The following is a 12,093-nucleotide window of genomic DNA, read 5'->3' as shown; positions in this document are numbered from 1 at the left end:
GAGGCTAACTAAAGTCTTAAAGTATAACAATCACCAAGTGTAAATCTGAAAAATTTAATGTAAATCAGAAAATTGGAATGATTCATTTATTCATATATAATTACTGATTACCTGCTATGTGCTCAGCACTGGGCTGTGTACTGGGGGATGTAGCCATCCCACACATGGAACTCACAATATAGTGGGATGAGTTGTTTTTACAGCCACATATATCATCACACAAATGTGATGATAATTAATAACTACACACGCTATGCCAGAGTGCTATAATAAAGAGCATGTAGCTGGGGGACCTTGAACACACCATACTCATACGCACGCACACACACACACACACACACATATATGTCTTAGTGGCTGGAAATGTTTTTCTTGTTTTGTTCCTGTGCCTAACCCTAACTCCTTACAATTTTATGTTATCCTTTAACCTTCGCTTTGTTCTTGAATAAACATGTCCAAGCTTCCAACAGAAGCTGGTTAGAATGGCTCTATGGCCAGTAGGAGATGAGATCTCAGTGATTAATAAAAAAAAAATTCACGGCATTTGGACTCATAACTGTTGTACTGTTGTAGAGGGGGAATCTTGAAGTTGAGCTGACATAGCTCCATCAGCATGGAGGGATTTCTGGCCATTAGAAATGCAGAATGGCTTCATAATATTTCATGGTGCATACATACCACATTTTCTTTATCCAATCCATGGTTGATGGATACTTAGTTTGATTCCATGACTGGAAATCAGAGAAGAATTCCAAAGGAAGCAATGGTTGATCCAAAGATAAATAGAAGTTAGCTTGGCAAGGGATTGAAGATGAAGGATGTATGAAGACAGTTCCAGGCATTTAAATATTTTTCAAAATTCAAAACCAAGACAGACTTTATGTTTCAGGAGAGTTTTAAAAATGTATTCACTAGAGTCACTCATCCTCACAAACCAAAGTGAATATACTCTAGGCTGAGAGAGACTGATGGCAGAATCACTAAGCAGTGACTCCATCTCTGGTCTAACCACACCTTTAGGCGAGGTAAGCCACCTGTTACATGGAATGATATGTGAAACTTTGTAAGACCAGGTGAGCTCAAATATCACGACACATTGTTATCTTTCCATTCCACACTTTTATTTTTTACTTTGTTTTATATTCAAGAAATACTCTATGCAGGTTTGTTACATGGGTGTATTGTGTAATGGTGGGGATTGAACTTCTAGTGTATCCATCACCCAAATATTGAACATTATACCCAAATGGCAATTTTTCACCTCTTCATCTTCCTCCTTTTAGAATTCCCATTATCTATTATTTACATTTTTATGTCCATGTGTACTCTTTGTTTAGCTCTAACTTATAAGTGAGAACATGCAGCATTTGATTTTCTGTTTCTGCATTAGTCACTTAGGATAATGTCCTCCAGCTCCATTTATGTTACTGCAAAGAACAAAGGACATGATTTCATTCTTTTCATTATATAAAAGACAACTGAACTTGTATGTTTATTGCAGCACTATTCACAACAGCAAAGTGATGAAACCAACCTAAGTGTCCATCACTGATTGACTGGATAAAGAAGATGTGGTATATATGCACCATGGAATACTATGCAACCATCCTGCATTTCTAATGGCTAGAAATTCCTGCCATTAATTTCATTCCTTTAGATTACACAACTTCAATAAAGGTATGGGCGTTGTCCTCTATAAAGCCATTTGTCATGATTTTCAAGACCTTGCATGATCTGGCACTTGTCTCCTCCCAGCCTCAGCCTCCCCTCGTGTTTCTTTCCATCATCCTCAGTATAGCCCTGCCACACTAGCCTCTCGGTTCATCTAATATGCCATGTTTCTGCCCACCTCAGTCTTCACAGATACCCTTCCCTCTCCCTGATGTGCTCTTCATTCCCTTCTTTTTCTCAGTAATTGCTCTTTTTAATTTAGATCACAATACATTTCTCAACCATATTTCCTTTGGGAAGGCTTTCCCTGACCCTCTAGGCCAGGCTACTTTCTCAGTCCATACTGTTTTAGCAGCCTGTACTTATATCATTTATCACAACTGAAATAATTAAGAAATTGAATAATTAACTAGTCATTTCAAGTTTATCTTCCTTCCTAGAATAAATACTAAACTTCACAGAAGCAAGGTTATATCTGTTTTATTCCTGACCCTTTTTGCAATAACTAGCACACCCTAGATGCTATTGAAGGAAGAAGGGAAAAGGGAATGAAAAGAGAAAGACAGAAAAAACACATGTGGCCCAACAAGTTTGCCCACTACCTCACTTTAAAAACTACTCATCATTGCAAGTAGCATAAATGGTGCTGGTTCCAACCTGGGACATTTGGCACAAGCCTATCCATATCCCTGGTCACCATGATTTATTCAGGGTTGTGCATATGGCTCAAATTGGGCCAGTTCATCTTCTTTCCCAGATTTCTTATCACAGAGCTTTTGGAAGAGATGCTGTTATTTCCTCTGAAATCACAAGGTTAAAAGAAAATGCAAATGAAAAGATACGCAGTTATCATTTGCCACATGGAAGAAGCAGTCAGTTACAGAAAACAATCACGCCAAAACTCAAAATGTAGCACATGGAGACATGGGACAGAAAGAGTGTGGACACAGAGAGTGAGAGCAAAGCAGTAGGCTCTATAACATCCCTTGACCTCTGGTCCAGCCACATTTGAAGGCTCCCTACCCACAGATTTTCAGTCATACAAATTGATATGGTTTGGATCTGTGTCCCCACCCAAATCTCATGTTGAATTGTAATTTCTAATGAGGTGATTGGATCATGGAAGTGGATTTTCCCCTTGGTGCTGCTCTCATGATAGTGAGTGAGTACTCATGAGATCTGGTTGATTAAAAGTATGTGACACCTCCCACCTCTTTTTCTTCCTTCTGCTCCAGTCATGTAAGATGTGCCTGCTTCCCCTTTGCTTTCTGCCATGATTGTAAGTTTCCTGAGGCCTCCTCACATGCCAAGCAGATGGTCAGCATCATGCTTCCTGTATAGCCTGCAGAACTGTGAGCCAATTAAGCTTCTTTTCTCTACAAATTACCCAGTCTCGGGTATTACTTTAGAGCAGTGTGAGAATTGACTAAAACACAAATCAATTCATTTGCTTTAGATTTAAGTAGGTTTCTGTTACTGTTTCTAAGGTGGGTTCCTATTACTTGGAAGAAGAAAGCAACTTATGCCTGTAATCCCAGCTCTTTGGGAGGCTCAGATGGGAGGATCACTTGAGGTGAGGAGTTTGAGATCAGCCTGGACAACATAGAGAGACCCTGTTTCTACAAAAAAGAAGCAAGCAAACAGACAACTGCAGAAGTTAATGGTCTGCTTAAACAAAAATTAAACCCTTCTCTCAGTATAAATTAATATTTTTGTTTAGTCTGTTCTCATGCTGCTAATAGAGACATACCCGAGGCAGGGTAATTTATAAAGGAAAGAGGTTTAACTGACTCACAGTTCAGCATGGCTGGGAAGGCCTTAAGAAACTTACAATCGTGGTGGAAGGGGAAGCAAAAATGTTCTCTTCACATGGCAGCAGCAAGAGAAGAATGAGAGCTGAGCTAAGGGGGAAGCCCCTTATAAAACCATCAGCTCTTATTAGAATTCACTCACTATCAGAAGAACAGCATGAGGGTAACTTCCCCCACAATTACATTACACCTCACTGAGTCCCTCCCAGGAAAACATGGGAATTATGGGAACTACAATTCAAGATGAGATTTGTGTGGGGACACAGTCAAACCATATCAATGTTGTTCTTCCCAAGTGCCAAGAGCAGAGCGTGGCATATGAGTGGCACCTAGTAAATATTTGTGACTGACTGATAAATGGATAAATGACCTAACAGTAACCATGAGTATTTTCAAAGGCACAAACAAAGGAAAGAAATCGAGAGAATATACTTTCAACATGAGATACAGAGTTCTTGGCTAGCAGATGAGAAGTTCAACCTGAATAACTATCATGGGCAAACTAGGCATCAATTATTAAGCAATAAACCTGTTCTAAATTGGGACAAAGAAGACCCAGCTTGCATCTCAGCCCTATTCACTACTAGAGAGTTGTTGCTGAAGAAAAAAAATTAAAGAACACAGAATTCAATTAGTAAAGAAAATGCATGAATCTAATCAAGCTTTCATTGAAAACACACACATATACACACCAGGAGAAGTAGGGTATAAGGTCAGAAATAGATTGAAATTTCAATTGAATACAATGGGTTTGATGATGCCCCATGGGCAGTACTAAAATAATTGCTCCAAACTTCCAACTATGGTTCTAGGAGGATCATATGGAAACTTTTTACTCTCAGGCACCATGTTCTAGACTCTGATTCCTAACTGAGAAGTAGCTATATTATGGCCCTGAGTTTATGGATTGACAACCTAAATATGTCTCAGATAGTAACTCTCCTCCATGTAGCTGGGCAATTAAACTCTAGGAAGACTTAGAAATAAAAATCAAATTAATACAATGTTGAATAGGAGTGGTGAGAGAGGGCATCCTTGTCTTATGCTGGTTTTCAAAGGGAATGCTTCTAGCTTTTGCCCATTCAGTATGATATTGGATGTGGGTTTGTCATAAATAGCTCTTATTATTTTGAGATATGTTCCATCAATACCTAGTTTATTGAGTGTTTTTAGCATGAAGGGGTGTTGACTTTTATCAGAGGCCTTTTCTGCATCTATTGAGATAATCCTGTGGTTTTTGTATTGGTTCTGTTTATGTGATGGATTACATTTATTGATTTGCATATGTTGAACCAGGCTTGCACCTCAGGGATGAAGCTGACTTGATCGTGGTGGATAAGCTTTGTGATGTGCTGCTGGATTTGGTTTGCCATTATTTTATTGAGGATTTTCGCATCAATGTCCATCATGGATATTGGCCTGAAATTTTCTTTTTTTGTTGTGTCTCTTCCAGGTTTTGGTATCAGGATGATGCTGGCCTCATAAAATGAGTTAGGAAGGAGTCCCTCTTTTTCTATTCTTTGGAATAGTTTTAGAAGGAATGGTACCAGCTCCTTTTTGTACCTCTGGTAGAATTTGGCTGTGAATCTTTCTGGTCCTGGGCTTTTTTTTGATTGGTAGCCTATTAATTACTGCATCTATTTCAGAACTTGTTATTGGTCTATTCAGGGATTTGACTTCTTCCTGGGTTAGCCTTGGAAGGGTATATGTTTCCAGGAATTTATCCATTTCTTCTATATTTTCTAGTTTATTTGCATAAACGTGTTTATAGTATTCTCTGATAGTAGTTGGTATTTCTATAGGATCAGTGGTGATATCCCCTTTATCGTTTTTTATTGTGTCCATTTGATTCTTCTGTCTTTTCTTCTTTATTAGTCTGGCTAGCAGTCTATTTTGTTAATCTTTTCAAAAAAACAGCTCCTGGATTCATTAACTCTTTTAAGGGCTCTTCGTGTCTCTATCTCCTTCAGTTCTGCTCTGATCTTGGTTATTTCTTGTCTTCTGCTAGCTTTTGAATTTGTTTGCTCTTGCTTCTCTAGTTCTTTTAATTGTAATGTTAGGGTGTTGATTTTAGATCTTTCCCGCTTTCTCCAGTGGGCATTTAGTGCTATAAATTTCCCTCTAAATATTGCTTTAGCTGTGTCCCAGAGATCCTGGTATGTTGTGTCTTTGTTTTCACTGGCTTCAAAGAACTTATTTATTTCTGCCTTAATTTCATTATTTAGTCAGTAGTCATTCAGGAGAAGGTTGTTCAGTTTCTATGTAGTTGTGCAGTTTTCAGTGATTTTCTTAATCCTGAGTTCTAATTTGATTGCACTGTGGTCTGAGAGACTGTTTGTTATCCGTTCTTTTGCATTTGCTGAGGAATATTTTACTTCCGATTATGTATCCCAGAACTTAAAGTATAATAAAAAATAAAAATAAAAAAAGAAATTATGACTAGATCAAGAAAAAAACAAATTAAATCTTTAGTATGAAAACATCACGTTAAATTCAGAATAATCTGTTTGCTATTTATTTTATTTGTAATATTTAAGATAATCTGACATAATGGTTTTGTAACTTTTAAGTGAAAGTTATTAGAGAATTTAAGTTAGTCAAGAGTGCTAGAATGTCTAAGAGAACTTGATTTACTATACTGATGAGTTAGATATACTAAGTTAGTAAGAGTTCTGACACTTATTAGCTTATGTGACTTTCAGCAGGTTACTCAACACCTCAATGTCTTAGTTTTCTCATCTGTAAAAGAGAAATAAGAATAGTTAGCCACTTAATGAGAATCTTGTGTGAATTACATAAATTAATATTAAGATATGTAAAAAGCTTACAAAACTATCTGGCATAGTGTAAGCACTAAACAAATGTTAGTTGTAAGGGTTTAGAAAAGTTTTGCAACTTAAGGTTACAAGTCTACCCTGTTATACATTTGGATCATTTAAGAAAATCAAATTATTAAATTCATAAGTGCAGATAAAATATTTAGAGAAATTTAACAAAATTGTAAATGCCATTGATTATTTAAGATGTTTTAGTCTATTCAACCCGAGCTCATGGATTGCTGTTTTGATACATATAAAAGTGATTTTGTTTTTATATTGTAAATAGCAGATATATTGATAGAATATATATCAAGAACTGTATGTTAAATTGAAAGACTAAAAGCTATGTTTTAAATTTTTTTCTAATTTAATATATTGAATATTAGTTGAAATCCCAAGTAACTATAAGGAGTTACTTTGCTCATCAAAAGTTACTTCTGGCCGAGATAGCTTACACCTGTAATCCCAGCACTTTGGGAGGCCGAGGTGGGCGGATCACTTGAGACCAGGAATTTGGGACCAGCCTTGGCAACATGGTGAAACCCCATCTCAAAAATACAAAAATTAGCCAGGTGTGGTGGTACTCACTTGTAATCCCAACTACTTGGGAGGCTGAGGCACAAGAATTGCTTGAACCTGTAAGGCAGAGGCTCCAGTGAGCTGAGATCACACCACTGCCCTCCAGCCTGGGCGACAGAGTGAGAACCTGTCTCAAAGAAAAATAAAAGTTATTTTTGTTCCCAATATTAAAAGAAAATTTACCTTGACAAATACCAGTTTCTCTTAGTGCAAAAGTGAAATAGAATCTTATATGTAAAAATGTATTTAATTATTTTCCAGTATGTGTTAAGAAACTACCTATACTATCTGTCACTTGAAGAGTCACAGTGCTTGTTAGCCTGTTGGTAAACCTGTTAAATTTATCTAATCTGGATTTTCCAACAGCCACAGAACAGTTTATTTTTGTACATCTATTATCTTTTTTGTGTAACACTTTTAGAGCTTTAAACTCTAGACCTACAATAAATTTATAAATCACTAACTTTGGTGTGTCTGAGATGGTAACTCTCCTCTCACGTAGGAGCCAAGAGGGCAGGTGCCTGGAGGGATGACAGGGAGACCCAGCGGAAGGTGGGAGAGAAATCTGCTCATGAAGGGGAAAGGCAAAGGGAGACAGTAACCCTGGGACACCTTGGGTTTAGGGGCTCCTTGTCAGGCCATTCCTCCCTGATTTGTTTTCCTGTCAGCATTCCCATGGACAACAAGATGATAGAGATTCATTCCTCCTCAACCCTTCCTCCCAATTTCTGTTACTCCTGGGAAAAAATTGTACAATATTTTATTGATAGTTTTTTTTTTTAATTGGTGGTTTCGGTGGTGCATCATTTCAATGGTTGATGTATGGAACTGGCAAAAAATTTGCCTGACACTGCACAACCCTGATGCGCATGAGTCAGACTACCACAGCAGAATCTGGAGACGTCTTTCCCCCACTTCCTCTGTGCTTTTCCAATGTTCATGCATTCTTTTTTTTTTTTTTTTTGAGACGGAGTCTCGCTCTGTCGCCCAGGCCGGACTGCGGACTGCAGTGGCGCAATCTCGGCTCACTGCAAGCTCCGCTTCCCGGGTTCACGCCATTCTCCTGCCTCAGCCTCCCGAGTAGCTGGGACTACAGGCGCCTGCCACCGCGCCCGGCTAATTTTTTGTATTTTTAGTAGAGACGGGGTTTCACCTTGTTAGCCAGGATGGTCTCGATCTCCTGACCTCGTGATCCACCCGCCTCGGCCTCCCAAAGTGCTGGGATTACAGGCGTGAGCCACCGCGCCCGGCCCCAATGTTCATGCATTCTTACCCAGCATAGTCCTTTTCTGGTGTTCATTGGCTCCACCTGCATTTGGCTGATGCCCCGTCAAGTGCATGCTAGTTATGCTAGCATAGGACCTGAAGCCCTTTGTTCCTCAAATCTTAAGTATGTGCAAAGAAAGGAAGATTTTTTTTATTTGCTTGAAGTCCCCAATCCATTTTTTCCAGGTGTCTTTTACTTTCCCAAATCTGAAAGTTGTCACTGTCATCTTCCTGTGGAAGCTTTCTCCTCCAGCCAGTCTCTACTCTTTATCATAGGGACCCTCCCATAATGTGAAGTTGCAGGTATGCTGTTTTCTGAAGCATTACATTTTCCATAAAAGTTTTGGCCCTAGCTTGTATTTACCAAATAAAATTATGGTTCTTTTTTAGTTTATATGTATATGCATGTGTGTGTGTGTTCTTTGAAATTGCTCTAATTACTTGTTGCTCTGATTTTGGTTTGGTTGAGGTTAGCCAGAGGAAATACATGACCCAAAAAAGGACTGTCTGAAGAATTTTTGTTTCCTGTCTATTTTTTTTAAGGTGCTGAAAAAAAAATAGATGAGATTCCATTGAAAAATCTCAGAAATGAGAGGCAGTCAGGATATTCGTTGGAGAACTACACTTTAGAAATTGAATATAGCTTCCAGAATCTAAACAAAACTTCTGCTTTGGGTAACTGTTTAAAGTTACCTTAAAGGGTTTAATAACAGTCAATGTATGTCCTGCGATTTACATATTTAACACATATAAACACATATAAAAATTTATAACACATATAAAACAAAATGTATGCCTCTGGATAAAACTGTGCTGGGCTTCAAGCAATCTAGGAGATAAAACATTTGTATTAACATCTACAACTGACCTGCTTCATCTCAATCACATATGCTTGGTGGAGGTGATATCAACCCCAACAGGGCCAAAATTGGTTCTTGAGAGGTGAAAATAATCTTAGCTATTACGATGGTTTGCAGTTACATATAAACAGATATATCTATTATATTAAAATTTCATGGGGAGTAGGAGAAGTGATTAGGAAAAAATGCTCGTTGGCAAGAGAATGATAATGAAATAAGGTTGAGAAACAGTAATCTAAACTGAGATTGTGATGAATTGGTAGAATTATTGAAAGTTCATTTTTCCAACATTTATCAGTCCTTGTTCTGGAATGTATGCTTTGCAAACAGAATCTGCTGACTGTGTGGATCTTTCTGTTTTGGTGCTGAAGAATTGTGTCATTTCTCATAGCCATGCAATTTTTGGTGTTTCTTAGATGACATGTTGGGAGAAGGCTATACATGTGAAATTCAAAACAACATTTTCTAATGGCTCATTTGACTGAACCAAAATCGATTTTTGTATTGGCCTAAGAAAACCTTAAATGAGGCTCGGCGCAGTGGCTCACACCTGTAATCCCAGCACTTTGGGAGGCCAAGGCAGGTGGATCACTAGGTCAGGAGATTCAGACCATCCTGGCCAACACAGTGAAACCCCGTCTCTACTAAAAAATACAAAAAATTAGCCAGGCGTGGTGAGGGTGCCTGTAGTCTCAGCTACTCAGGAGGCGGGGGCAGGAGAATGGCATGAACCCAGGAGGTGGAGCTTGCAGTGAGCCAAGATAGCGCCACTGCACTCCAGCCTGGGCGACAGAGCGAGACTCCATCTCAAAAAAAAAAAAAAAAGGAAAACCCTAAATGATTGGACTGCATTGCCATATGTCACCACTCATAATTTGTAATTACTTGCAATTTGCAAGACTTGTAATTTCCATACCTACTCAATCTTCAAGAGCTAAATCAAGCACCACTCTTTCGCTGAAGTCTAAATAGAGCTTCAAGGTCCACAGAGTAATTATTCCTTCTTCCAAGCTGGCAGTACTGAGTATATATGTCAATTATGATACTAACCACACTGAATTATAATTATTTGTTTCTGTGTCCATCTCACCACCTACACTGAGAGCGCCTGGTAACTGGAGAGCAATGTCTTTTCCATTTCTATATTCCTAGACCCTAAATGCTAACCAGCAGATGGGGATGTGATGCACAACTTACCAGTTGTCCAAATCAAAAACCTGGGAAGTCTAACTTGCCTCACCCCAATCTCCACCCCATGTTGATCTTTTTTCTACCTCTTTAATATTTATTCAATTATTCTTCAACTTCTAGTGAAGAAACAGCTTCATAAAAGTATATCCCTTCACTGGTTGAAGTGTTAAATTTGCTGTAGTGCAAAGACACTGTTTGTTTTTTCAAGCTCTGCTGTGGGGAGAGGGTGGTGGCAGCTGCAGTGCTGTAGCTTGGTAAAGTTTGGAAAGTAATACGTTTGGAAACAAGGATTTCAGAATCAAATGGCAGCCATTTTTATTTTACATAGGAAGAGAGAACACAGGAGAAGAGAAGACTGCAAAAGCTGAACTGCTTTTGTAGTAATAAGGGATATTTTTAAATTGAAGAGACCTCTCAATAAAACACATAACACACACACAAGCAAACTATACAATAGGCTAATGCTGTTATATACTTACCTCTATTTTCACAAAAAAGTAGTTTAAACTGAATATAGTTCCTAAAAGTACTTTTTCTGTTTTTAAAAGATTATAAACATTCCCTGATAGCCATACAACTTTATCACACATTATTTAATGACTCTATCCCATTCTAGTCTAGACTATATGAGGAACCTTGCATTGTGCAACATAGTATTTTTTCAAATTTATCATTATATATAATACTTTGAAGGAAAACTGTATGCATGAATCTTAATATACATCATTGAAACTTTTTCCTAAAAAATTCTAGAGTCGAATTGCTGAGTCATGAATGGTAAGCATTTTTAAGTTTTTTAGTGGGTACTGCCGCATTTCCCTCCAGGATGGTTGCATTGATTCACAGGCAAAATATATTAAAGACAATATTTAAAACCACAGCATGACCCACCTTCACATCATAGCACAGATGTGGGCTTCTAGGCTAGACCACAGCAGATAGAATGGCTTGCTTTGTGGCAATAAGGAAAGCTCTCTTCCTGGAAAAGTTTGAGGCAAAGTTACAGAGTCACTAATAGCAACAGCCTTGATTTAGGGTTCAAACCACAAGCAAGAATTAATTCCTACATTACATGCTGGTCATGCCAACACATTTTTTTAAACTTTTCCAATAAGGTTAGTAGTATCACTTTCAGGATTATCTTTGAATCCTATAGGACAACATAGGCACAGCAGAGAAGGAAATAAATAAAAATACACATAAAGCCTTCCAAATAGACACTGAATTAAGATTCTAAAAGGAAACCACAAATTATGCCTGTCTCTATAGATGGTCTCTGCATTTACATGTCAAATAAAGTTTAATGCCACACTGTGGAAACATTTAGGGACCTAATATTAGTCTTGTCAGCCATTTCTCCCTCAGAAATGACATATAAAGACAATAGAAGCCTTGGACTTTATAGTGTCACTTCTTTCCAGTGCCCAAAGCATTTCACGTAAGTGACAAATGCAATCATTTGTTAATGCTGGATAATACTGCTTTTATCTCCATAGTATAATTACAGCTGCCTCTTAACATATCTTAAACTGATAAACAGAAACATGTTTTCTACTTCCTTCTCTGCTCTCACTGTTAACAATGACAGAACATCCAAATGGGGAAAATGTTCAGAAGCAGAGATCCAACTTATAGAAGAATTAATGTCATCATCAACTCATGGCCCAGGGGTCCTTGCACAGACATGGCATTCTAATAGAAAATGGGCAATGGGACACTGTTGAAGGTAACTAGACCTCAAGCGACAGAATCCATCAGGCCAGTCATTCTGCACGACTCAATTTATAGACAAAACCCATAAAATTTTACAATCAGGAAAGAAAACTTCAAAGAGTTTCATCTCTTCAAAGGATCAATTTTCATAATTAAGCCCACAATTTGAGGCAGCAAAATACA

At 38.0% G+C, this 12,093-nt stretch overlaps 1 annotated feature.

Moving 5' to 3' along the window:
* Window positions 10,596-11,795: an enhancer, noted in NCBI's record as "MED14-independent group 3 enhancer chr8:108116572-108117771 (GRCh37/hg19 assembly coordinates)". NCBI's record gives its function as "activates an origin of replication core promoter dependent on BRD2, BRD4, P300/CBP and CDK7 cofactors, and independent of MED14, by STARR-seq in HCT116 cells {active_cell/tissue: HCT116}" and the evidence as "EXISTENCE:reporter gene assay evidence [ECO:0000049][PMID:35650434]".

This window comes from Homo sapiens, chromosome 8 (genome assembly GCF_000001405.40).
Source record: "Homo sapiens chromosome 8, GRCh38.p14 Primary Assembly".
Taxonomy (NCBI): Eukaryota; Metazoa; Chordata; class Mammalia; order Primates; family Hominidae; genus Homo; species Homo sapiens.
The sequence above is the reverse complement of the archived record's forward strand: the minus strand, read 5'-3'. Positions and strand labels throughout refer to the sequence as shown.